Source organism: Homo sapiens, chromosome 14 (assembly GCF_000001405.40).
Source record: "Homo sapiens chromosome 14, GRCh38.p14 Primary Assembly".
NCBI lineage: Eukaryota > Metazoa > Chordata > Mammalia > Primates > Hominidae > Homo > Homo sapiens.
This window is the reverse complement of record NC_000014.9, coordinates 88,547,456-88,574,033: the sequence shown is the minus strand read 5'-3', so window position 1 is coordinate 88,574,033 and position 26,578 is coordinate 88,547,456. Positions and strand designations below refer to the sequence as shown.

The window sequence follows — 26,578 nt, the reverse complement described above, 5'->3', positions numbered from 1 at the left end:
GAAATCCCAAAAAGGTATACAGATGTGATACAAAAGAACTCTAGGAGCAAGCCATGGGGAAGAAAATCTGGTATAGCATGAGAAACAGCAGATAAAACAATTTAAAAATAAACTTGGGGCCAGGCGCCATGGTACATGCCTGTAATCCCAACACTTTGGGAGGCCAAGGAGGGCAGATCACCTGAGGTCAGGAGTTCAAGACCAGCCTGGTCCAACATGGTGAAACACCATCTCTACTAAAAATACAAAAATTAGCTGGTCGTGGTAGTACACACCTGTAATCCCAGCTATTCAGGAGGCTGAATCAGAAGAATCACTTGAACCTGGGAAGCACAGGTTGCAGTGAGCCAAGATCAAGGTGGGTGGATCACAGGGCCAGGATTTCAAGACCAGCCTGGCCAACACGGTGAAACCCTGTCTTTGCTAAAAATACAAAAAATTAGCCAGGCATGGTGGCGGGTAATACCAGCTACTCGGGAGGCTGAAGCAGGAGAATCGCTTGAACCCAGGAGGTGGAGGTTGCAGTGAGTTGAGATCGCGCCATCACACTCCAGCCTGGGCAACAAGAGTGAAACTCCTTCTCAAAAAGTAAAATAAAATAAAATAAATTTGGAATATGTGTTTTTTTTGTTTTTTGTTTTTTCTTTTTTGGTTGAGACGGAGTCTCGCTCTGTTGCCCAGGCTGGAGTGCAGTGGCACGATCTTGGCTCAGTGCAAGCTCCGCCTCCCAGGTTCACGCCATTCTCCTGCCTCAGCCTCCCGAGTAGCTGGGACTACAGGCGCCTGCCACCATGCCTGGCTAATTTTTTGTATTTTTAGTAGAGACGGGGTTTCACCGTGTTAGCCAGGATGGTCTCAATCTCCTGACCTCGTGATCCACCCGCCTCGGCCTCCCAAAGTCCTGGGATTACAGGTGTGAGCCACTGTGCCCAGCCTTGGAATATGTGTTTAGTTACTTCATATATTATTTGGTATCAAGAACTGCCGATTTTTAGCCTAAGCCAGAATTTAAAAGTACATACAAACCTCCATACTCATTTTCTCCGAGTTGTTTCTAAAGAACGGACTATACGTTTCTTCTAAGCTGTTAAGCACCTCTGGTTCACACAAACGTCCTGTTTCATATACCCAACTACTCTGCATATCAAGCTGCTTGGCAGCATGAATACTATTCTGCTGCTGTTGAAATTGCAACCTGTTTAAATGAACACCACTATCTGCATTTCTACTTGCAGGTGGTCGATAAATTTCAATAGAAGGGCGAGAAGAACCATATGTAAGTGTCACTGTAGGTTTTTTCTGAGATAAGGGATTCTCCTGCACAAAGTTGAGGTCTTCGTCAATGAGATCATCTGGTTCTGGCTTAATATCAATCACATCTTCAGAGGGTGCTGGCTCCCTCAAAGGTTTCACTGTTGACATTAGTCGGGTTGCAGCTCCATCATCGTAAGTCTGTCTATTTAAAAGAACAACAAAATGTATTACAGCCAAATTAGGGCAATTATCACCAAATCTTTAAAGAATGTTTACTTGAAAAATTTCAATGAAAAAACTGAGGATACTCCCTTTACATATTCCATTCAAAACTGCTTTGAAATTGCACTTTCTTTCAACTTTGATTTACTAAATTTGTGATAAAAGATAATCATACTTAGATCTTATCCATTATTTTATTCAAAAAACTACTCACGATCACTTCATTGTTTCTAAAAATTGCTGAGAACAGCAAACTGAAAGATATAAAAACTAATATAAATGTCACATACACAGAGCCATCTGCCCCCAGCAGGTCTACACCAGACTCTTACCTGACATTTGTGGTTTTTGACTCCTGCGAACTTGTAGAAACTCTGGAATCTCTTTTTTCAGGTCTCGCGCTAGGAATGGCAAGTGGTGGCACTGCAGCTTCATGCCTCCTCTCATCTCCCCGACTGAAATTGCTCTTGTTTGAAGGCACGTTACTATCAAAGATGTTGGTATCAGAAGACTTCAGACTAGAGGGTTCTGAAAAGAAAAATACAGTCCTTTTAATCTATTTTTATTTCTTATTTTTATTTATTTATTTATTTTTGAGATGGAGTCTCGCTCTGTCGCCAGGCTGGAGGGCAGTGGCGCGTTCTCGGCTCCCTGCAACCTCCAAATCCCTGGTTCAAGCGATTCTCCTGCCCCGGCCTCCCAAGTAGCTGGGATTACAGGCATGTGCCACGATGCCTGGCTAATTTTTGTATTTTTAGTAGAGACGGAGATTCACCATGTTGGTTGGCCAAGATGGTCTCCATCTCCTGAGCCCATGATCCGCCCACCTTGGCCTCCCAAAATGCTGGGATTACAGGCGTGAGCCACCGTGCCCGGCCATCTATTTTTATTACTTTAAGTCGTTTCCTTCCTCATCACCAATTCAAAAGCAGTATGTTTATTGTAGAAAATTTTAAAAATATAATAAAAATCACCAATTATCTCAAAGGTGATTTTTCGGGGGAAGAGCATATATACACATTTTTTAAAACATGTATCTTATGCGTGTATATTCTGTTATTCTTCCACAACATTATTTTTAATAGTTAAATATTATTCCACACATGGTAATACAACAATTTCGTTTATTATGACTGAACTTTTAAATTGTTTTCAATTATAAAATACTGAAATATCCTTGAGGCTAAATCTTTGCACATATATGTAATTATTTCCTTCGGATAAAGTGCACTGCTCCCTCTCCCACACTTAAATTATCTTTGAATTATGTTAAATTTACTGCTCTTAAGTTCATAAAAGTATGTGCTTTCTAAAAAAGTTCAAATGAACCGTTTTGAAATTGATGGGTTTTTCCCAAAGCACTATGACTTTAGAAAGAAACAAATCATATGCCATAGCAAGCAGAAATTAAAAAAAAAAGTTATGAATCTTACCAGTTGTAACAGAGCGAAGTTTATCTAATACACCATGAAGCCTGAGGAAAAAAACAAAAAACAAAAATAAACCTTCTGTTAAGAAAGATTTCATTTCAACTGTCACTCTAAATTTATGACATTATATTCAGAGATAATTTTTTAAATTTTTTTATATTTTTATTATTTTTAAATAGAGATGGGGTTTCACTGTGTTGTCCAGGCTGGTCTTGAAGTCCTGGACTTGAGAGAACCACCTGCCTCAGCCTCCCAAAGTGTTGAGATTACGGGCGTGAGCCACCGCACCTAGCTGAGATAAATACTGATAAACTGTATTTAGTGAATAAATGGTATGAACTTTCAAACTTCACATTTTTAAAAAAGGGCTTTGTATAAATCCTACAGAAGTCAATAAAAAATTGTATTTTTTTCTTCACTGTTTTCAACATCTAGCCTCTGCAAAAATATGGGAAAGAATATCATCTGACCAGTCTTAGTCTACAAAATATGTCACCCTGTTTGTAAGTACTAAAGATTTACTGTAGCTTACAGTAAAACAAGTATCATAAACATGTAATATTGCTTATTATTACCACCATTTAAGCAGCTTATATTAACTGCTTAAACTAGATGGTGTCTTGGACAACTTAATTCTGAGAGGTTAAAACAAGTTATAATCTCAAACTATGCTATATCATTTCACTCTATTACTTTCAAAACTGATGCTGTAAGGCTGTAATCTTGCTTGTAACATAACCTGTTTTGGTAGTTATAAATGAGGTACTTTGCCTTACATCCCTTCCCAGTACCTCTCAAAATATGCCAGAAACCTCATGTTTCAATGAGAACCCTAGTCACATGCTACTGTCCCCACGGACACAATTACTTCAAGGCTCCAAATAATCACAATAGTCTGTTTGGGGCTGGTGTTAATGAACACTAACTTAAGAAAGCAAAGTGCCAAAATGGGGACATCACCCTTTGCTTCACTACATGTTAAAGAACTCAATTTATGGCCAGATGAGAATGTTGAATTAATTTGGTTTTAAATTCATTTGGTAGTCTGTTTTAAAAATCTAAGTATTCTATCAAGTTATCGGAGAAAAGGATCTACTCGGTCGCTTTAGAAAAAAAAATAGTACTCACAATAATGGTAATTTTCCCAGTCAAAAGACCCACAGTCTTTTTTTGTGGGGGGCTGGGAGGGAATAACCTCTGGGGACAAATTGTAACAAATGGGTTGGGTCACCCACAGTGAGGCAGCAGTGTATCATAACAACTGATGACCACTATACAATGTTCTTCAAATTTGTGCAATGTATAAACCCAGAGAATTCTGTGCAGAATTTCAAGACGGTTGATAAGCATACAGTTGCCTACTTGGGCAAAAACACCTTGAAGACGACCTTTGGTATAAAGGCAAGAACTTAACCAGGCTCATCTCCCCACTCAGTGCCTCCTCTTGCACTCAAATTCGGCAGGCCACTTGCTCACTTCTGCTACATCATCACCTTTCACGGTAACTGGTAGTTCCTAGCCTGAGAAGCCTAATAAAGTATTTCGTCTGTCTATTCTCAGCTACATCATTATCCTCCAGCCCTCATCCTCACTTTACCTCAAACCTGGTACCAGGACCTAGCATCTTAAGTTGAATCTTACTCTTCTAGTCAGTATTCTCAACTAAAGGCATATAACAGTAATTTATGTATAAAAGCAAAGTTGCCTATTTTAAAATTCCAAACTTAAAAAAACTTATAATCTCAAAATATGCTGTAACATTACACTACAATTATTACTCAAAATGAAGGTGTGAGTTTAACAAAAAGCTTAAAAAGTAAGAAACAGAAAAGTGAGAAACAGAAAACCTTGCCCTCTAAAGGTAACTCATTGTAAAAGGCAATGTAAGAAGCCAACCCAGTTCAAAAAAACATCTGTAACTGGTTTTGGTGGGGGAAAAGGAACTATAAGATACAGAAGCTGGCCAGGTGCAGTGGCTCATACCTATAACCCCAAGACTTCTGAAGGCCAAGGCAGGAGGACTGCTTGAGCCCAGGAGTTCAAGAGCATCCAGGGCAACATACTAAGACCCTGTCTGAACAAAAAATTTAAAAATTAGTCAGGCATGGGAGTTCAGGAAGGAGGGGACTGCAATGGGATGATCACTTGAAACCAGGAGATCGAGGCTGCAGCGAGCCATGATTGTACCACTGTGCTCCAGCCTGGTGACAGAGCAAGACCCTGTCTCAAAAAAAAAGATATAGAAGTTTACAAAAGAAACATATTAAGTATAGCCGACATATACTAAGAATTCCTTAGGAAAATGCTAGGGACACCTATAAGTACTTTACACATATTAGCCCATTTGATCCTCAATAATAATTTTATAAAGCAAGTGGCTGTACTATTTCCATTTTATAGCTAGAGAAACCAAGGCAAGACACAGCCAGGATTCAACTTTGGCTGTCTGGCTTCAGAGGCTGATAAGGTTTGGCTCTGTGTCCCCACCCAAATCTTATATTGAATTGTAATCCCCACCTGTCAAGGGAGGGAGGTGACTGGGTCATGGGGGTGGTTTCCCCCATGATGTTCTCATGATAGTGAGTTCTCAAGAGACAGTGAGTTCCCGAGTTCTCAAGAGACAGTGAGTTCTCACAAGATCTGATGATTTTATATAAGTCTCTGGAAGTTCCTCCTTCACTCTTCTCTTTCCTGTCGACTTGTGAAGAAGGTGCTTGCTTCCCCTTCCTGGGGCCTCCCCAGCCATGTGGAACTCTGAGTCAATTAAACCTCTTTCTTTTAGAAATTACCCAGTCTCGGGTATTTCTTCATAGCACTGTGAAAATGGACTAATACAGAGGCTGTGCTCTCATCACTCACAAACTGCCTCTCCAAAGTAAACCTAACTCAAGTGTCAAGAACCTCTCTTTGGACAGAATATCAACTCAGGCTTGTGCCAAACTTTGGTCTGAGGCACAAAAATTCAGAAACATACCATACGGTGAATCGAATTGTGTTGTTCCCTAGAAACAGGGACAGATCCTCTGTCATTTGGTCCTGACTTTTCTTGTTGGCCACCATCACCATAATGTAATCAGGAAGTTCTTCATCTATTTAAAAGGAAAGGTAGATCAAAACTTTGTTTCCTCAAAACTTTCTTCTTAAAGTTGATGTGCTTGAAAATATAGATGTAGCTCTAAGCTTTAGAGTCGCAGAGCTCTACTGGAATTACATTGGACAAGATGGCTTAGCTTTAATTTTTTTCTCTTCATTCCACAGGTATTTCAAATACTAGAAGAATGGAAATTAAGAATAATTGATACTTACAAAACTAAACATTCTGAATTATAGGGTCAAACTTGAGCATGCATTCACTTCCTTGAATCTTTTTAATAATGCTTATTAATTTCAAAGAAGCTTATGGGAAATATTTGAACATTCCCCAAGAAAAAGAATTGAGTTTTGTTTAGTTTTAATTTGCAAAGTTTCAAAATAACACTCATTTCTCAAGTGAACATCTTTACCCTTGCTAAAGGCAGGTTTCAATTACTCACAGTAACAAACTTGTAGCAACATCGAATAAACAAATAGACCCAAAAGCTCCACATCATTTAAAAAAATCAATTTTAACATTAAATAATGTCAACTCAATGCACGGTTTTACCCTCACAGTGGTAATCCTACAATGATTATAAGGGTGAGGTCTAGGATAAAAAAAAAAAAAAAAGAAAAAAGGCCAGGCGCGGTGGCTCATGCCTGTAATCCCAGCACTTTGGGAGGCCAAGGTGGGCAGATCACAAGGTTAGGAGATTGAGACCATCCTGGCTAACACAGTGAAACCCTGTCTCTACTAAAAATACAAAAAATTAGCCGGGTGTGGTGGTGAGCGCCTATAGTCTCAGCTACTCGGGAGGCCGAGGCAGGAGAATGGTGTGAACCCAGGAGGCGGAGCTTGCAGTGCGCTCAGATCCTGCCACTGCACTCCAGCCTGGGCAACAGAGCAAGACTCTGTCTCAAAAAAAAATAAATAAATAAAATAAATAAAAGAAGCCAAAAAACACCCTCCTAGTGGTAATCCTACAGTGATTATGAGAGTGAGGTCTAGGATTTAAAAGAACAAAAAAACAAAAACCTCACTAAGAAGATAAGGAAGCAAAAGCTGTTATCAGGAACTCTAATCTCTGACCCTCAAAACTCCATTCCAGTTCTCTTTTTTTTTTTTTTCTTTTACGACAGAGTCTTGCTCTGTCTCCCAGGTTGGAGTGTAGTGGCACAATCTCGGCTCACTGCAAGCTCTGCTTCCTGGGTTCAAGCGATTCTCCTGCCTCAGCCTCCCGAGTAGCTGGGATTACAGGCACCTGCCACCACACCCAGCTAATGTTTGTATTTTTAGTAGACACCAGGTTTCAGCATGTTGACTAGGCTGGTCTCGAACTCCTGACCTCAAGTGATCCACCCACCTCGGCCTCCCAAAGTGCTGTGATTACAGGCGTGAACCACCATGCTGTGACAAATTTCTTTAATACCTTAAATACTTGTAATATTTCTATGCAGGCAGAAAGGTTCATTTCAGAAGTACTTTTTTTGTTTCAAAGAAAACTATAAAAAATGCAGTTCAAGTGTTGAAAGAATAAAAGAATAAATAAATCTTGGTTCAGCTTTATTTTCTCTGAGCCTCAATTCTCTCATCTGTTAGTCTTCCAACAATCCTGACAACAAATCGTTTATGAAAGTGCCCAGCAAATGGTGGTAAGTACTCCATAAATTACCAATTCTCAAACTGTTTGGTCTTGGGCCCCTTCTTTGGTTTATGCAGGTTCTATTATTTATGGTGTTCAAAATTAGAACTGATCATTTTTAATTAAAAAGTATTTATTAATTCATTAAAAAATAAATCCATCACATGTTAATCACAAATCCAATTATATTAACACAAGTAACATTATTAAATTTTCCAAAAAAAAATTTAGGCAAGGCACAGTGGCTCACACCTGTAATCCCAGCACTCTGGGAGGCTGAGACAAGTGGATCACCTAAGGTCAGGAGTTCGAGATCAGCCTGGCCAACATGGTGAAACACCGTCTCCACTAAAAACACAAAAATTAGCCGGGGGGGGGGGGCGGGGTGGTGGCAGGTGCCTGTAATCCCAGCTACTCGGGAAGCTGAGGCAGGAGAATTGCTTGAACCTGGGAGGCGGAGGTTGCAGTGAGCCAAGATTGCACCACTGCACTCCAGCCCGAACCACAGAGTGAGACCCCATCTCAAAAAAAAGAAAAAGAAAAATTTACTGCAAAGACTGGCCTTGTTTCATATTTTTATATATCTTGTTCTATGTGCTTATGACTGAAGAATATGAAAAAATCTGGTCTCACAGATATGCAGTTGAAAAAGGAGTATTCTGATAGTCTTTTCAGATAAGGTGGATATTCTTCTGTGACACTACACCAAAACTAAACAAGTGGTAGCTTATTAAATGTTAAAGCAACGTGGAATGTCAAATACGTCAATGACCTTTTTGAACTGTTGCACAAAAATCCACTGACCCACCCCAGAGTTTAAATAAATCTTTAATCCACTGCATAATTTTGTAATATTATGCATTGGTTATTTAGAAAAGATTGGTTCACTTAGCTACAAAAACCACTGACACGTTGATATATTTCATTATGCAGTATAAAATAATTATTTTTTAATATCGCCATTGAGTTGGCCGGATGCAGTGGCTGACACCTGTAATCCCAGCACTTTGGGAGGCTGAGGCACGCGAATCACAAGGTCAGGAGTTTGAGACCAGCCTGGCCAACATGGTGAAACCCTGTCTCTACTAAAAATACAAAAAATTAGCTGGGTGTAGTGGCAGATGCCTGTAATCCCAGCTACTCGGGAGGCTGAGGCAAAAGAATCGCTTGAACCCGGGAGGCAGAGCTTGCAGTGAGCCAAGATCACGCCACTGCACTCCAGCCTGGGCAACGAGTGAAATTCCATCTCAAAAAAAATAATAATAATAACAAATTTTTTTTAAATCACCATTTATTTAATCAGAAATTTTTTAAGTACTGGGAAGCTGTGAAATTCATGGAGGCAGGCTCAGATTTTCCAAAATTCTAATTTTCATTTGAAAGCTCACATGTGATTGGCAACAAAGACTATGGATTCTTTTCTTTGCTCACTTTCAAGTAAATATCTGCCAAATATCCTAGTGTATGTAACCAGTTTGTCAGTACTTTGAAGTTAAAAATGATGTTCCCTGAAAGAGGTGGCTAGCTTAGTTCTCAACTAAAATGATTTTCCTCAGAACAATCGTATTTCAGTATACAATAAAAATGTTTTATGAGCATTTCTATTTCCTCGCACTGAATACTAAGAAGATAAAAAATATTTTGTAAACCCTGGACTTCACATCTTCATCAATGACATTTTAAGTGTAATTGGCTCAAAAAGAAAAAAACTACAAGGGGGGAGTGATTTGAATATGATTTCATTATGGTGTTACTATGCTGACAAGTTTTATCAACCATTAGTTTTACACAATCCAAACACCACCACCACAGTGAAAAATAACAAATACCATCTTAGTATTAATATGAAAACAGTTTTGACTTCAGAGGCCCTTGGAGTCTCCCACACTTTGAGAACCACTGTCATTAGTGGTAGCTATTATTTTTATAGGAGGCACCAGCTTTGGGGGCAAACCATAAAACCTTGCTCAAGTAGGCAAAGCCTCAGTTTCCTTGTTTACACAGTCAAAGATACTGCCACTTACCTTCCAGGATTCTCGTAGGGATTATCCTGAGTTAATACATATACAATAGTTAAGCACAGTACCTGACCCAGAGTAAACACTCAAATTATAAAAGAATAAAGAGACGGAAAAAGCCTTACTGTTTCAGAGAGAGAGGGAAAACATAAAGAGATCGGAAAATAAAACTCACTGAACCATTACAGAAGCAAATGCCAGAAAGCATCAAACATTCACATCCAACATCAGAGTTCTAAAAACAAATGTCAAGAGGAAAGTAACAAGAATAGGAAACTTTAAACAGGCATGGTGGCTCACACCAGTAATCCCCGCACTCCCAGCACCTAGGGAGGCTAAGGTCAGATAATTGCTTGAGCCCAGGAGTTAAGACCAGCCTGGGCAACGTAGCGAGACCCGTCCCTAGAATTTAAAATGAGAGAGAGAGAGAATAGGAAAAACATAAAATAAAATTCGGTCAAACAGAGCCTTAACGGAGGAAACTAAATTTCAAAACACCATAACAGAAGGAGGTTTGGGAGAAAAAAAACAAGGTTGCAAAAAGATGATAAAGAAGTAACCAGGGAGTATAAGATTTGAAGAAGGTAGAAGGGAGTCTCTCCCAATGTCCAAAGTACGGTGAGAAATACGCATTCACTAAAATTCTATTAGCTGCAAACTCTAAATTCTGTAAGACTAACAACCAAAAAAACACTTACCAACATAAGCTCCTAATTCTTGTAATTTCCCCTTAATGGCACTCTGAGAGAAAAAGAGCAAACGTGCATGTGAGAAAGGCGGCTCTAGGAAAACAAGACCGGACTCTGCAGCGGCTGAGGCCACTTTGCTGGTGCGCGCACCTCGGATCCCCCGGGCGGGGGCTGGGAGGAGCCTCGCCTGCACCGCCCCCCACCCCGCACCCCACTCCAGCTCCAGCCCCAGCCCCGCGGCGCCCACCTCCCGCAGCGGATCCAAAGCGGCGCCGTGCGCCGCGGTGGTGGCTCCAGCCGGGCCTGCGCCTGTCCTTCCATTTCCCGGCGGCTACTTCAGCCGCAGCCACGCTCCGAGGCCGCAAATGTCCCCAGGGCCGAGGCGGCCTGGACGAGGAGGAGCCGCAGCCCGCCAGGAGCGTCCAGCGGAGGCCAGGCCGCGGCGTCCACCCGGGCCCACAGTCCCCGTTACTCCTGACAACCGCCCGCTCGCCGAGACCTGGCTTCCCACCCCCGACCGGCACGGGCCTCACCCGGATCTTGCGGCTGATCTCGGTGCCGATCTCCATGGCTCTGCGGCGTGCGGGAACTCAGCACTGCGCGGCGCTTGGCTTACCCGGAGGCTGCCGCGGACTCCTACCCCGCAGCCGGGACACCACCGCCTCCTCCTCCGTTCCGCCCCCGGCCGCGCACACGGCGTATCCCCGCCCCGGCCGGCACTGCGCGCCGGAGTGAACGCGCATGCGCCCGTGTCCGCGCCTGCGCACGCCTTCTACCCGCGAAACCTGTGCTCAGGCAAGGAGGGCGGCGGCGTGCGCGTGCGGGTGGTCTTGCAGCTCCGCCTCCCGGGCACCTCGGGGACCTTTCGTTAGTCTCTCTGCTGGCCCTCCGCTTATTCATTTTATTCTCTCTTGGATGGTAAGAATGAATTAAATGTGTAGCAGAAAGATCTTGGGCTGTGATATGAGACGCGAGTTCAAATCCAGCCCTCACTTACTGTCAGTATGGTATCGGTCCAGGTATTTCAACTTTTCTTACCTGTAAAATGGAGTCTGCCCATTAGAGGTTGCACTGCAATTACCCTTGAAGGGAAAATGGACTATCCAGAGCAACAGAGCCAATCCGTCAACTCTTTGACTCTGCAGTACACTGGCCCTCCTGGGTTTGGTTCTGCCTTCCTTCTTCCAGGGCCACCCGTGGCCTCTCCCCGAGACGAATCCCATCCTCCTGCTTCTCTGAACACCCTCCGTGGGACAACACTTTTGTTCTTAGGACTTAAGTTGTCAACTCTGTGCTGATAATGACCGAATTTTCCATCAGCCTTGAATTCTCACACAAACCCCACTCCCAAATTCTAAGTAACTACTCTTATTTTCTCCCAACTCAGCGCTTAGACAGAAGTCGCCTTCATCTCCCCTTCCTCCACTCAATAGGTTACTACTGTTGATTCCCCTATTTGTATCAATAGCCGAATTCTCCCTATCCCTGATCACAAAACCTGGGAAACAGAGGAAGCACAGAGAGGTCTCCTTTCTCCCTCATATCCACTAATTCCTGAGAGTGGTCTCTGTTATCCATTGCTGCATAACAGATGACCACAAATTTAGCAGCTTAAAACACAAACGTTTATCATCTCATGGTTTCCGTGGGTCAACCTCACTGGGTCCTCTGCTCAGGGTCTCACAAGGCTACAATCGTGTCAGGCAGGCTGTATTCTCATCTGGAGGCTTGACTGAGGAGGAATCTATGTTCAGGCTCATTCAGGTTGTTAGCAAGAATTCATTTCTGGCTGAGTGCGGTGGCTCATGCCTGTAATCCCAGCAGTTTGGGAGGCTTAGGCTGGCGGATCACTTGAGACCAGGAGTTCGTGACCAGCCTGGGCAACATGGCAAAAACATGTCTCTTCAAAAGTACAAAAAATTAGCTGGGCGTGGTGGCATGCACTTCTAGTCTCAGCTAGTTGGGAAGCCGAGAGGGGAGGATTGCTTGAGCCTGGGAGGCAGAGGTTGCAGTGAGCCAAGATCATGCCACTACAGCCTTGATGAGAGAGTGAGACCCTGTCTCAGGAAAAAAAAAAATAATTCATTTCCTTGTGGCTTTATGAGTAAGGACCCAGATTTTTTTCTGGCTATCATCTGGAAGCCACTCTCAAGTCCTAGAGGCTGCCCACAGTTCTTTGCCAAAGGGTTCACTAACATGTCTGTTCACTTACGCCAGTAAAAGCCAGGCACAGTGGCTCATGCCTGTAATTTCAGCTCAGTGAAGTAGAGGTGGGAGGATCACTTGAGACCAGAAGTTTGAGACCAGCCAAGGGCTTTCATTTAATTAAGTTAGGCCCACCCAGGACCTGACCCCAAAATCAGCTGATTCACGACCTCAATTACATCTGCCAAACCTCTTATTTTTGCCATGTTTATTACCTAAGCAATCCACACTAGGGGTCAGGAGTGGGTTGTGGGGACAGCAGAAGCAGGAGTTGTGGGGCTACCTAGGGTCTGTCACGTGGTCCTTTAATAATCTCATATAATCCTTTCTTGTGAATTCCTATGGCATCTATATGGAAGCTATTAGTATAATAATATATTCTGTGCAATGTTATTTCGTGTGTGTGTGTGTGTCTTCCCTAACAAAATTATAAACTCTCTGTAGGGCTTTATATTTCTCCAACCTTTCAGGATGCTGGACACATAGTAAGCACTCATTAAATATTAATAGGGTAAAAGAAATTAAAGACCTAATTTACAAAAGCATTCCTCAAGGATAAATCCAGTGATCATACACTCATTCAGCATTGATGACAGGCAGCAGAGCAGAATGACACAGAACAAGGGCACTGCAGCCAGACCGTCTGGGTCTGAATCCTGGCTCTGCCACTCCCTCTGAGACCTTCGGCAAATTGCTTCTCATCTCTGTGCCTCAGTTTCCTTATCTGTGATATAGGTATACTAGTTTCACCTGCAAAGGGTTACTATAAGGATGAAATAAGTTAATATTTGTGAAGTATATTGAACTGTGCCTGGCTTATAGCAGTACTATGCTTGCTGATTAAAAATTAAGTACCTGCACTGGGATACAGTGGTAGGAGCCAGAGCACAAAGAGGAGCAAGACCAACTCCCTGCTTTCATGACACTCACAATACAAAAGACAGATGAATTACTTTTATTCCTTTACCAGCCATTTCAGAACTAAGAACAAAAACATGTTTTACCATTACTGGGTACCCAATTCTCAGTCAATATTAACATAATATTGAGAATAACATTTAATAAAAAGTAATGTTTTCATTAAAACATATTCAGAGTAGGGAAACTTATTAAAATATATTCAAGAAAGCGTTAACTTTTAGGACCATGAGCTAACTTTTAGGACAACTGTGGAAAAGAGACTGAAAGGCTGCTTGAGACCTCCCACATTTAGATCTAAGATGTTATGATGTCTCGATCACAGGAGGGGCAAACCCACTAAACCAATGGTTCATTTGGTGTTCCAGTGCAGTTCCAGGCACTTCCCTGTAAACTGCAGCTTCACAAACTACATCACATCTCGAAGAAGATGTTCATGATAATGCCCTAAGAGAAGCCATTAGAGGGAGTAGGAGTGCTAGGCTTGAAAAAGACTATACTGGACAGTATTTTTTTTTTTTTCCCAGCTTGGAAATGTTCTCTGATTTAGGGGAAACAACATGTTTTCCTCTAGGGGACAGTGTGAAGACCAGATTTCAACAAACCCAAAGTGCCAGCTAAGAGGGCTCTGGGCTGTCTTCCAAAAAGAGAAGATGACTGAAAAGAGCATTGGCTTTGAAGTCAGAAGGGCTGAGTACCAACCCCATCTCCATGGAGCCATGAGTCTTCTAACATTGCCCCCCAACCACGTCTGCAATCTCTTCTCAGGTTGTATTTCAGCTGGATGTTGCACATCCTTTGCACGTGTGTGCGTGTGTGAGTGTGTAGAAGCACTAGGGGATGGGGGAAGGTGGGGTGGGAGTGGGGGTGTCTTCCTGCTTGAAAAGCTTTTCTTTCTTTTTTTTTTTTTTTTTTTGAGATGGAGTCTCACTCTGTCGCCAGGCTGGAGTGCAGTGGCGTGATTTCAGCTCACTGCAACCTCCATCTCCTGGGTTCAAAGGATTCTTCTGCCTCAGCCTCCCGAGTGGCTGGGACTACAGGCGCGTGCCACCACACCCAGCTAATTTTTGTATTTTTAGTAAAGACAGGGTTTCACCACGTTGGCCAGGATGGCCTTGCTCTCTTGACCTCATGATCCGCCTACCTCGACCTCCCAAAGTGCTGGGTGTGAGCCACCGTGCCAGGCCCAAAGCTTTGCTTTTCTTTGAGTACTCAGTCAACCTTTTTTTGTCAGCCTTTTGAGTCTGCTTTTCCAGACTCAAGCAGAAGCTGATCACAGTGATTAACGAGACATTACCAGTCCATTCAGACTATAAAGTATAACCATGTATAAATTTCCTCACCTACTACAATTACATATTCATCTGTTGTTCACATGGTGAGTCTTTGAGGACAGGGGTATGCATCTATTTACCTTTCTCCTTGCAGCACCTGGCTTCTAAATATATGTGGGCTGAATGGACAAGTGTTTTCCAATAGTGATTATCACATGGCATAGACATACTTGGATCAAAAGCCCTAAGTGTTGGGAATTACAGTCACAGCAGTCACTTGCTACTGAGGCAGACATGCTTCTCCATTTCAACAAACACACTGCCAAGATAATCATTTCTCTGATGTCCAGGGGAATCTATCCATAAAATGGTTGCTCTTTTGCAACTGAAAAGGTGTTGCATGTGACACAGTATTGAGTGTGGTAGGCAGAACTTAAGGTGCAGATTCAGAGACCGAAGACTTCACATTTCTATTTTTTTTTTTTTTTTTTTTTGAGACGGAGTCTGGCGCTTGTCCCCCAGGCTGGAGTGCAATGGCGCGATCTCGGCACACTGCAACCTCCATCTCCCGGGTTCAAGCGATTCTCCTGCCTCAGCCTCCCAAGTAGCTGGGACTACAGGCGCCCTCCACCACACCCGGCTAAATTTTGTATTTTTAGTAGAGACAGGGTTTCATCACGTTGGCCAGGCTGGTCTCGAACTCCTGACCTCGTGATCCGCCCGCCTCGGCCTCCCAAAGTGCTGGGATTACAGGCGTGAGCCACCGCGCCTGGCCACACATTTCTAGTTCTAGCCCTCACTGTCCCCTTCCTCAGGGATCATCTTTTTTTTTTTTTTTTGAGACAGCGTCTCACTCTATCACCCACGCTGGAGTGCAGTGGTGCGATCTCGGCTCACTGCAATCTCCGCCTACTGGGTTCAAGCGATTCTCCTGCCTCAGCCTCCTGAGTAGCTGGGACTACAGGCGTGTGCCACCTGCCCGGCTAATTTTTTTTTTGAGACGGAGTCTCGCTCTGTCGCCCAGGCTGGAGTGCAGTTATGCGATCTCGGCTCACTGCAAGCTCCGCCTCCCGGGTTCACGCCATTCTCTTGCCTCAGCCTCCCAAGTAGCTGGGACTACAGGTGCCCACCACCATGCCTGGCTAATTTTTTATATTTTTAGTAGAGATGGGGTTTCACCGTGTTAGCCAGCATGGTCTCAATCTCCTGACCTTGTGATCTGCCCACCTTGACCTCTCAAAGTGCTGGAATTACAGGCGTGAGTCACCGTGCCGGGCGTAATTTTTGTATTTTTTTAGTAGAGACGGGGTTTCACCATATTGGCCAGGCTGGTTCCGAACTCCTGACCTCGTGATCCACCCGCCTCGGCCTCCCAAAGTGCTGGGATTACAGGCGTGAGCCACCGCGCCCAGACAGGAATCATTATCTTTGCGTGGCAGGGCATTCATTCAATTTGGATTTTTGCAGATGATGATAATTTATACGGTGGGTATTCACCATGCTATCAAAACAGATTAACTTTTGAACTTCTAAGAAAACACTAGTCAGTGCACCCACCAAACCACAATTTCCTTTCCTTTTTTTTTTTTTTTTTTGAGACAGAGTCTTGCTCTGTCACACAGTCTGGAGTGCAGTGGCGTGATCTTGGCTCGCCACAACCTGTGCCTCCTGGGCTCAAGCGATTCTCATGCCTCAACCTCCCCAGTAGCTGGGACTACAGGCATGCTCTACCACGCCCAGCTAATTTTTGTATTTTTAGTAGAGACGGGGTTTCTTCATGTTGGCTAGGCTGATCTCGAAATCCTGACCTCAGCTGATCTGCCCTCCTAGGCTTCCCAAAGTGCTGGAATTACAGGCATAAGCTACTGCACCCAGCCTTCTTTCATCTTTTTGTCTTTCATCATTTTATGTGCTGGGCTTTCTTTTTACATTTTATTTATTTTAGTAAGAAATAACTTCCAGTGTAAAAGTATGTGTAAGTATGCCACCTTCTGGATAACAAGAGGGGGTAAAGATACTTATATGTAGTTTCTTGTAACTCTGCAGAACATCTTTGTAAGGATACAGAGGAATGAGGGAACACTGGTTACCTCCCAGGAGAAGAGCTGGGTGTCTAGCAGGCAGGGTGAGAAGGGGACTTTTTACTTACACCCTTTTGTATCTTTGGGGGTGGCACCATATAAATTATCTCACTTCCTTAGATATGCAACACAAGCTAATAATTTTATGTCTAATATTTTGAAGGTGTTATTCAAGTGCCTTCCCATGAATGTTCCTGCCAAATTAACATAGCTGAGGGAAAATAGGGCTTAGGTACTTGGTCAGTAAATGACATCTGTGGACTGTGAGGGAGGAAGTTCAACTCAGTTGTCTAACATCTCTTGGGTTTTATGGTCATTTTCTATTTTTAAAATTCTTTTATTTTCTTCCTGATTCAATTAACAAGTTTTTATTTAGTGCCTACTCTTTGCCCAGTACTGTCCTAGGAATCCTAGGAGATATAAAAGAAGCCGTCATGAAACAACTTTTACAGTTCTTGCCAAGTGTGGAGATCACTGTGGAATGGTGTGGCTAGAAAGTCATCCTGGAAGCAGAGTCTTACTTGCAGAGAAGCAGAAGGCTTAGACAAGTGGAAAGAGGGCAGGAGGGGCTGCTGGCCAGGGGCAAAGCTTGACAGGGGCAGAAAGCGATATAGGTGGTCAGAGAGGCCCGTTTGGAAAGTCCCTATAGGTCAGGCAGAAGAACTTAACCTTGGGAGTCCATTAAGAGTGATAAGAGAAGGAAGCCTGGTATTAGCAAGGAAATAAGAGAGAACTGAGAAACCAGATGCCAGGAGACCACCCTTGTTGCAATAATCCGGATGTAAAATGATGAGGGTTTGGATTTAGAATGTTCCAGGGGGAACAGAAAGGAAACAAAGAATTCATGAGACATTTCAAAGGAGGAAATACCAGGTCTTGATGACAGGCTGGAGATGATAATGGGAGAAGTCACACATGATTCCAGTTTTTCTACCTTGGGAAGCCAGCAAAGTGACTTCTTTTTAGATCTCTTTTCTTTGCTCACACACAAATTGACCCCCTCATAGAGTTCAGTTGAAATATCAATTACAAACAGAATTGATCTATTTTTTTTCCCTTAGAAACACAGGTAATCTTATTTGCCTTTAGCTAAACGACCCAAGATGCACCTTGCTGGGCTTTGCTCTTGGATAGCACTCATACCTCTATGACAATGCTCCCCACTTTGGCCTTGTACTGCGTGTGTGGTGTGCAGGTGCGTTTATCACCCACTAAACCAAAAGTCCGTGTTGTGCAGGGACCACGTCTCATGCAGAGTTAAGTATTCAAAAGTTTTTGTTAATTGTTTAAGAAAATGAGATTTACATGAAACAATACTTTAAAAAGCTTTCCAGAAACAACAGCATTAAAACAAAATCACTGAAATTAAAATTTACATAAATTAAAAGGTTCTGTGTTCCACATGCCAAGAAAAGATCTTACACTATTGTAATAGTGGTAGGGTCACACAGTTTTATTCCTCAGCTTAAGTGCTGCAATACAGTAATAATGCAGTACAAGAATACTGTATAATAAACCTTAAACGAAACACTTCATATATACTTTACACAAGTTATTGGATATTGCTTAGTATTTATTTCCCCCACCCCTGCTGTGCAAAGATATTAATATCCCTCTTTTATAGGAGAGGAAACAGGTAAAGAGAAGTTAAGAAACTTGCACAAGGTCATCCAGCTAGTAAATGTTGGAGCTGGGATTTGACAACTTTGTCAAGTCTCCATCCTTAACAGTTCTGCTCTATATTGCATAAGCAGACAGCTCCCTTTTGGGGACTGACAGGTTATTTGAGGCATATGAACCATTTTTGGTGGGGGGGCTTTCCCACCCAGTACTGGAAGTGTCTAGTTATATGGGGCATAACCTTAGGAGCAAGCAGGAAAAGAAGAAATGTATTCCAATAGTGTTCAGAAATATACCAGAGTAAACGAATAACCATCAATAACAGCATTTTACAGCCTACCTAATAACACAGGAATAAAACCCTTTATCTGGAACCTAAATAATACCCCCTCCACTCATTTTATTAAAAGCCTTGCTTTATTTGGAAACTCTTAAAATAAGTGGTCATACGATTAAAAAAAGCAGCGGCGCGCCCCCTCCCCGGCGGCCGGGCGCAGCTGTCCGCGCCTCCCCCGCGCGGCTGCCCGCATTCCAACTCTCTGAGGTCACGGGCCGCCGCCGCCTCCCCGGATCCGCCCGCCCGGCTCAGGGGGAGGGACGCCTGGGCCCGGCCGCCCCGCTGCTCCGGCCGCGCGTCCCGCGTCGGTCCGACGGTCTGTCCGTCCTCCTGCCACCCCCCGCCCCCACGGGGCTTCTTTGTGCGGCGCTCCTCGCCGGCCGGTCCCACCTCCAGGCCTCGCCCCTCGCCGTCGCCACCGCCGGACTCTGCCCAGGGGAATGGTCTGCGAGCCGGGTTTTTGGAGACAGGAAGTGAGGCGTGCGAGCCCCATGAGCGCGCCGCGGCCCGGGCTGGCGTGCGGGTGCGGCTGCGGCGGCCGCGCGGCGGGGCCCCGGGAGGCGGGTCGCTGAGCGGGGCGCGCGGCCCCGAGGATGCGGGAGCGGGAGCGGGAGCAGGTGAGGGCGCGGTCCCCGGCCGGCGGGAGGGGCGGGCGGCTGGCCCGAGCGGTGGGGTGTGTCCACTCGCCCGGACCCCGGAGCGCGCCCGCGGCCCCGGAATCCCGGAGAATGGGGCGCGGCGGCCAGACCCGTAGCGGGAGCGTAACAAAGAGAAAAGTCTTGTTTTTCAGGTTCGCTCTCATATACTTGAGTAATTTCTAAAAGGAGTCTTGAACTTCTATTCCGAACGCCCTGGCCGATTGTTGCGGGTTAATTCTGGATCAGGGTTTTAAATGTGTTAGGCATATTTGTGCCTCTCAGAATATATAAACGTGAAATTCGCCAGATAACTTTGGCGAGAAGGGGCGCAGGGAAGGACTGTTTGGTAACGCCTGGGTTTGTTTTTGGAGTAGAGTATTTACTCTGGAAACAAGAATTCTTGGATCTGCAAATTCCGACTTGTGATTTCTGCAAATCCTGATTAGATTGGCCGCTCTTGGCATGCTCGTCCTATTTTCTTTTTTGCTGAGAAAGCCTTATACTAATAGCGTATGCTCACAAACACATTCAGAACATTCGTGTGCTCCAAGTGACAACTGCTGTATGCCTAATAGTTGCTGACAGTTTATTTATTTTTTTAAGTTTGGGACACGACAGTAATTTTACTCTGAATATAGTCCGTTTCGTTTCTAGGGCATTTTATTCTGGAGCATCTACGCACAGATGTTTTCTCCGTGAGAAACATGGGTTTAATGCTATAGCTATAGATATTACTCTAAAAATGTCACATACTCTCTCCTTTTAGTGCTTATTTTATTTTAAAGCAACTTTGGCAAAATTACATGTGGTAAGGACCTTAATAGGAAAGGGGAAACGCTGTAAGATTGAGAGGTAAAGTGTATTTGAGGAACTTTTGGAAAGGGTTGTAGAGAGGGAAAATTAAAATGAATTCACAAATAGTTCAGACTGCCTTTTGTAAACTTGTACTGAAGCAGAATCTAGTATGTATCTGTTTACTTACCACAAAACGGAAAGATTTTGTAGAGAAAAAATTATATCCTAGTTTTCCTTTAATAGCTATTTATAAATTATGTTTACTTTAGTAAATTATAATTCCAGACCCAATCACTTTCATATTATTGCATATTATTTTATACCTGAAACAGACCTCCCCAAAGAACTCTTAAATTTCTACTCATCTTGGTTTTATTATCTTCAGACATTCATAATTGTATTACACCATTTGGCAACAAATACTGCATATTACTGAAAATTAAGATGTATAAATCATTGATAAATTTGTAAATTATTAAACAAAATCATTGTTTTAACATAGTGGGTTTTATATAAATAAGCAAAAAGCAAGCCATTCTTATGGATAGATCTTGGGGGGATGCACCATGTACACACACACTGCAACTTTTTCAATTTCATCTACCAAAATAAGAGATAATTTTGACTTTTCCTTTATCCCTGATGCAGTAATACATTTCAAGTCTGAGGGACAATTGAAAGTTTTACTGAGTTTGCTTAATCAGAGCTTAAGTTAATAATTAAGTTATACAGTGTAGTATCTATTGCTTTCAAGGCATAGTTCTATGTAGTGAAAAGACTACCATATTTGAATGGCACCTAATACAAATATTTATCTTTCCTCTACACATATGCAATATCTTGTCTGTTCATCTACACTACTTAATCCGCCCGGTTTCCAGTTACCATAATTTTTATGTAAAATTGAAACCCACCATCTGATCTCATGAAAGGGTGTTTAGTATGCATATTTATAATCCTTAAATATTTACTCTTGGTTTATCAATTTTCTAGTTAAAAGCTTATTATTTAAAGTTGTCATTTGCTAATTTTTTTCCATCTTGCTTTACTTATTTAGTTTATACCCCTGAAACAGCAAAGAGCATTGAAAACTACTGGAAGTGGAAACCATATCTTTTAATACTTATTTTCTGTTTCCCTCCATAGTATGGTGCTTTTACCTACAGAAGGCACTCAGCAAATGCGGTTAATTAACACAGTGCTTTAGGTAGTTGCAGCGTTGTTTTTTTCTTCTGGCCTTCCCCTATCCCTTGTTTTTAATATTTTGATTTTCCTGGCTATGGGAAATAACCAGAGCTCAAAACAAACAAAAAAACTAGCCAGATAAAACCGTGGTTGGGTCCTTATTAGAGATACAGCTCTGTATGTAATTATAGCATGGTTGTAATCTCTTTAAAGACAGCGACGGTTTAGGGATTCGTCTTAGATTTCTCACGATGCTCATTACGCTGTCTTGTTCCCAGAGACGCAATACACATTTGTGGAATGGAATTTCAAAATGTTAAGTTTGGCAAAGCCGAGGGTAGTAGCGGAACCCTTTTCTCCAGGTCTGCCATTCCCTAACCCTAAGTGCCCCATCACCTCTGGGCCTGAGACGCAGTCAGGAGAGCAGGACCCAGGAGAGGACTGGGACTGTGGAATTTGGGATCGATTCCCAGCTCAGCCCGTCCTAGCGTGAAACTGCGAAAGCCGCTTCTCTTCCTGAAGCCTGGGTTCTGTCTGCCAGATGAGAGGGTCGGGAATAGATCTTGCCTCTCCGCGCGGTCCCGGGCCGGAACTCAGCGTAGCCAGCTATGGCTGGGTCTCGCTAAGCGATTCATCCCCAACAGGCAATCTCTGCGCAGAAGGAAGGTAGGGAACCGTCTCAGGACCCTGGAAATGTCCGGGATTTTGTAGACTCGTTTAGGGGGAAAAAACTAATCCAGCTGATATAAAAATCCCCAGCTAGTGCTCGCCCCAGAAACCATCAACAGGTCTGGTTAAAAACTGTTAGAGCCCGGCTTGGTGGCGCGCACCTGTGGTCCCAGCTACTCGGGAGGTTGAGGCGGGAGGATCGCTTGAGCCCAGGTGTTCGAGGCTGCGGTGAGCTACGATGGCGCCACTGCACTCCAGCCTGGGTGGCATAGCGAGACTTCGCTCTATAAAACACGTTGTAAGGAGCGTATTTTGAGGTCCTGTGGCTCCAAAGCGGGCATCCTATGGGGCCCGCCCAACCTCTCCACCGCCAGTAGGGCACGCGCTGGTCCCTTTAAATGTTCCCTTCGGGAGCCGAGGGACCGGTCCTTTTAGAGCGCGTCCGTCCAGAAACGCGGCTGCAGAAAGAGGGTTCCGGGGCCTCCGAGTCTACTGGTTGGCCTGGCAACGCCGCGTGCTCTTCCCAAGGGGAGGACGCGGGAGAAGCCGGGGCCTGAGTGCTCCAAGGCCCCGTGGGCTTCTTGGGTTTGTTGCCTCCGGCCGCTCATTAACTCAGGATGGCGTGGAAGACCTCGCCCGCCTCCCCTTCTGGGCCGCGGCTCCGCTTAGGTGAAGGCCTGTTTGGGCGTCCCCACCCTGGAGAGGGGCCGGGGTCTGGATTTTCAGAACTGCCACTCTTCTAGTGGTAAATGGATAACGAGCATTTGTAGGGTCTTTTATGATGTTTATCAGTAAATCAATTTGATGACGTAAATACTTCCACAAGCGCTTGTTAGGCACCTCACCGGGTTTGAATCACACACCTGCCTTTCTTAGTGGGGATTATTCCTCCCATTTGCCTTCAGGGTTAATTTTCTAAAGGGATTGGGACTGAAACCTAGCTCTTTTGGGGCCATTTGGCACTTTTCTCACTTAAGGACTAAAGAACTCTGACATTTGGAGTATTACAACCTGAAAGAGTTACCTATGAAAAAACAACACCTTATCCAAAATAGGAAGAGGATCACAATTACTAACTACAAAATTTGGGATTATAGTAGTGCTGGCTATTATCTCATTTAATCCTGAGGATGGCCCAGTTTGCTATCCCTATTTGTAGGATACAGTGAAGGGTGGAGTCTGACCCTGAGCCTAGCACAACTCTGAGATAAAATTCCACCCTGCCTTCCGGGTCCTGTTAGTGCCTTTTTTCCAGTGGAGAGGGACGGCTTGTTCTTTGGCCACAGCTTGACTGGCTTTTCTTTATACAAGCAAAGCCCAGCGTTACGTTTGCTTAACTAACGGCGTTCCTCTTTCCCCAGCGCTGGCGTCAATGCTCCCTTCCTCGGGCCATTGGAGACTCCGTTGCTTTTTAATGGCGGCAGCGGCTGCTGGGTGAGCAGCTGGAGGCCGGACAGTGTTCGTCCCATCCGGAGAGGATCGCTTTCTCCTGGCGTCACCAGCGCTGGGTTGGTGGGGGTAGCTTTTCCCTCTTTGCTCCTCCATTCTTGAAGAAAGAAGAAGATGCCACTGCCATTTGGGTTGAAACTGAAACGCACCCGGCGCTACACGGTGTCCAGCAAGAGTTGCCTGGTTGCCCGGATCCAACTGCTTAATAACGAGTTTGTGGAGTTCACCCTGTCCGTGGAGAGCACTGGCCAGGAAAGCCTCGAGGCCGTGGCCCAGAGGCTGGAGCTGCGGGAGGTAAGCCACCTAAAGACACTGCAGGCCAGGCGCGGGTGGCTCAAGCCTGTAATCCCAGCACTTTGAGAGGCCGAGGCTGGTGGATCACCTGAGGTCAGGAGTTCGAGCCTAGCCTGGCCAACATGGTGAAACCCTGTCTCTACTAAAAATACAAGGCCGGGCGCAGTGGCTCACACCTGTAATCCCAGCACTTTGGGAGGCCGAGGCGGGCGAATCACAAGGTCAGGAGTTCGAGACCAGCCTGGCCAATATGGTGAAACCCCATGTCTACTAAAAATACAAAAATTAGCCGGACGTGGTGGTGGGCGCCTGTAGGGTGTGGTGGCGGGCACCTGTCATCCTACCTACTCGGGAGGCTGAGACAGGAGAATCGCTTGAATGTGGGAGGCAGAGGCTGCAGTGAGCCGAGATCGCTCCACTGCACTCCAGCCTGGGCTACAGAGCGAGACACCTGCTCAAAAAAAAAAAAAAATTGGCTGGGCGTGGTGGTGGGTGCCTGTAATCGCAGCTACTGGGGAGGCTGAGGCAGGAGAATCACTTGTACCCAGGAGGTGGAGGTTGCAGTGAGCTGAGATCACAGCACTGCACTCCAGCCTGGGCAACAAACTCTGTCTCAAAAAAAATTAAAAATAAATAAAAAAAACACGACAGGCTTCTCTGGCCCGCATGCTGGCTGTGTGTTCTAGCCCACGGGCCACTCACTGTGTGTCCCTGGCTGGGATGTCTGAGTTGAGCCTGTAGTCCCCTCCTCATGAAGCAGGAATAGATTAGATTAAGAAGTCTCCCCTTGGGGTGCCCTATAAGAACTAATGGTTCTTATTTTGAATATGTTTATATTCCCCCTCTAAGGTAATCCAGAATCAAATGTGAATACACTTTGGGTTGTTCAAATTTCCATTTTCTAATATACCCCCAAAGGTCATCCTGATCTCTAGTACAGTTTACTGACTTCATTCTTTCTTTTTTGTTCATTTTAATTTTTTTAGAGTCAAGGTAGGTCTAGCTATGTTGCCCAGGTTGGTCTCAAATTCCTAGGCTCAAGCGATCCTCCCGCGATAGGCATGTGCCACCATGTCCGGCTCTTGACTTCGTTCTTTCAACATTCATTGAGTAAAATTCATTGACTATATTCTTACAGGCCAGATCGAGGTTCTAGAAACATACTGCCTGAACTCAGTTTGAGTTCTAGTTTCCTCACCATCTGCTTCTGTTACCTTGGGCAAGTTATGTGATATCTCTGAGCCCCAGTTCTCCATCTGAACCATGGGGATGACTGTGACACCTAATTCTCAGAGTAGCATAAGGTTGTAAGCTCTGCTAACTAGTCTATTAGAGTACCGATTGGGAGGTTTGCCCAGGAAACCCCTAATCTAGTTGGTAGGAAGTTATGGAGTACTCATGTATCCATATAATGTCTTAAATTTAAAATGTTATGCAAGGCCTGTGAAGAAAGGTCTCTAATTAAACCTAGGACCCTCCCTACCTTTGGCTACCTGGTTCTTGGGTAAGGGAAAGTTAGAGAAACTGGTTATTCCACCTAAAAAGTCAGGAATAGATGAACTTTGCTCCTGGTGACCATCCAATCACTTATATGATCACTCAGTACTGAAGATGCGTAAGTGCCAAGCACATACATACTTGGAAGCTCACCCTAGTGTTGTTGCCAGTAAGAAAACAGGCATGATGCATGCTGTGATAAGGGAAGTAGAGGGTGTGCTATAGGCCAGAGGGAGGTGCAGCAAAGGGAAGGCTGCTCAGGGAATTTGATTCTGAGCTGTGACCTGAGGATGGGGCAAGGGAGTCCTATCAAGGGCTGGAGGAGTTCCAACAAAGAGAACTGCACAGGACCAAAGACGCAGAGGAAGCTGGTCTGCCTGAAGCCTGAAGTGCGTGGAGGAAAGGCCGACTGTAAGGGCCACACAATGAGGATTTTTTGTTAAAGGATTTAGATTTATCCTGAGGGTAGTGGGGAAGTTAATGAAGGGTGTAAACAGGTGTGGTACGATTGTTTCTGTGAAGAGTGAGCCCTTTGGAGAATGATTTGAGGGGAGTGGTTCAGGTACAGATGGTAGCCACCTGGAGTTGGATAGGGTTGGAGAGAGGTGGTTGGAATCTGGATCAGGACCTACCGAGTAATAGAGAAGGGTTAGCATGGGTCCTGGTTGATATTCAGGTTTTCAGTAGATGGTGGGGCTATAACAGAGAGGAAATGTGAAAGGAAGTGCAGATCTATTAGGGGCAAGGAGGAGCGTGTGGTGAGTTCAGTTTTAGAAATACTGAGTTTGAGGTGCCAGTTGGAGGTTTTGAATAGACAGATGGATCTGCTGATCTGGAGTTCAGGCATGAGATCCAGGTTAGAGGGAAGATATTGGGAAGTATCAGCCTAAGTGAGTTCATTAAAGCCAGAAGATGGTATGAGGCTCTCCAGGGGAGAAAAAGAGGACATCGCAGACCCCTCATGGTAGATTAGAGGAGGGGAAAGTGTTGGAAGGAAACTGAGATGAAACTGCCGAAGAAGAAGAAAGAAAACCAGAACAGCAGGCCTCAGTAACCAGTCCCTGCTTACTTGCATTTATTCTTTTTTAGGGATGAGGTCTCACTCCATCACCCAGGCTGGAGTACAGTGGCACCGTCATAGCTCAATGCATCCTCAAACACCTAGGCTCAAGTGATCCTTTTGCCTTAGCCTGCCAAGAGCTGGGACTACAGGTACACTCCACCACACCCAGCTAATTTTTTTTTTAACTTGTGTTTTTGAGATGGAGTCTTGCTATGTCGCCCA

At 44.4% G+C, this 26,578-nt stretch overlaps 3 protein-coding genes across 33 annotated transcripts in view, besides 3 other annotated features; 2 read left to right on the top strand and 1 right to left on the bottom strand.

The window, feature by feature from the left end:
• The window catches only part of ZC3H14 (zinc finger CCCH-type containing 14), a 64,560-nt gene extending 53,563 nt beyond the window's left edge, over window positions 1–10,997 (bottom strand). For 15 of the 29 annotated variants that reach the window (NR_136936.2, NM_024824.5, NM_001160103.2 and 12 more), the window contains exons 1-6: window positions 10,865–10,997; window positions 10,341–10,383; window positions 5,881–5,995; window positions 2,910–2,950; window positions 1,809–2,004; window positions 1,027–1,456 (exon numbers count right to left, since the gene is read on the bottom strand). Coding sequence is in view for 28 of the 29 variants with exons in the window: in NM_024824.5 (NP_079100.2) it covers window positions 1,027–1,456; window positions 1,809–2,004; window positions 2,910–2,950; window positions 5,881–5,995; window positions 10,341–10,383; window positions 10,865–10,900 (861 nt within the window). In the remaining variant the exon portion in view is untranslated. Of the gene's footprint in view, window positions 1–1,026; window positions 1,457–1,808; window positions 2,005–2,909; window positions 2,951–5,880; window positions 6,177–10,340; window positions 10,384–10,578; window positions 10,688–10,864 lie in introns of those variants that run through there. The other 14 variants (NM_001326300.2, NM_001326302.2, NM_001326308.2 and 11 more) reach the window with 3 other exon arrangements.
• Window positions 10,499–11,208: a silencer, noted in NCBI's record as "silent region_5992". NCBI's record gives its function as "represses an Ori minimal core promoter by ATAC-STARR-seq in GM12878 lymphoblastoid cells {active_cell/tissue: GM12878}" and the evidence as "EXISTENCE:reporter gene assay evidence [ECO:0000049][PMID:35858748]".
• On the top strand, window positions 17,244–19,377 carry LOC124903405 (proline-rich protein 2-like). Its single transcript, XM_047432047.1, has 2 exons — window positions 17,244–17,271; window positions 18,974–19,377. The coding sequence occupies exons 1-2, from the start codon at window positions 17,244–17,246 to the stop codon at window positions 19,336–19,338; spliced, it is 393 nt and encodes a 130-aa protein (XP_047288003.1). The 3' UTR covers window positions 19,339–19,377.
• Window positions 19,020–19,069: a silencer, noted in NCBI's record as "silent region_5991". NCBI's record gives its function as "represses an Ori minimal core promoter by ATAC-STARR-seq in GM12878 lymphoblastoid cells {active_cell/tissue: GM12878}" and the evidence as "EXISTENCE:reporter gene assay evidence [ECO:0000049][PMID:35858748]".
• Window positions 19,027–26,578, top strand: part of PTPN21 (protein tyrosine phosphatase non-receptor type 21) — an 89,230-nt gene continuing 81,678 nt past the window's right edge. Inside the window, exons 1-2 of one of the 3 annotated variants that reach the window (NM_007039.4) lie at window positions 19,027–19,383; window positions 23,415–23,796. In NM_007039.4, the coding sequence (NP_008970.2) occupies window positions 23,617–23,796 (180 nt within the window). In that variant the 5' untranslated portion in view covers window positions 19,027–19,383; window positions 23,415–23,616. Of the gene's footprint in view, window positions 19,384–22,481; window positions 22,799–23,414; window positions 23,797–26,578 lie in introns of those variants that run through there. The other 2 variants (XM_005267287.4, XM_011536367.4) reach the window with 2 other exon arrangements.
• Window positions 23,906–24,723: an enhancer, noted in NCBI's record as "H3K4me1 hESC enhancer chr14:89015655-89016472 (GRCh37/hg19 assembly coordinates)". NCBI's record gives its function as "activates a minimal SCP1, AML or CMV promoter by ChIP-STARR-seq in primed H9 embryonic stem cells {active_cell/tissue: H9 hESC(primed)}" and the evidence as "EXISTENCE:reporter gene assay evidence [ECO:0000049][PMID:30033119]".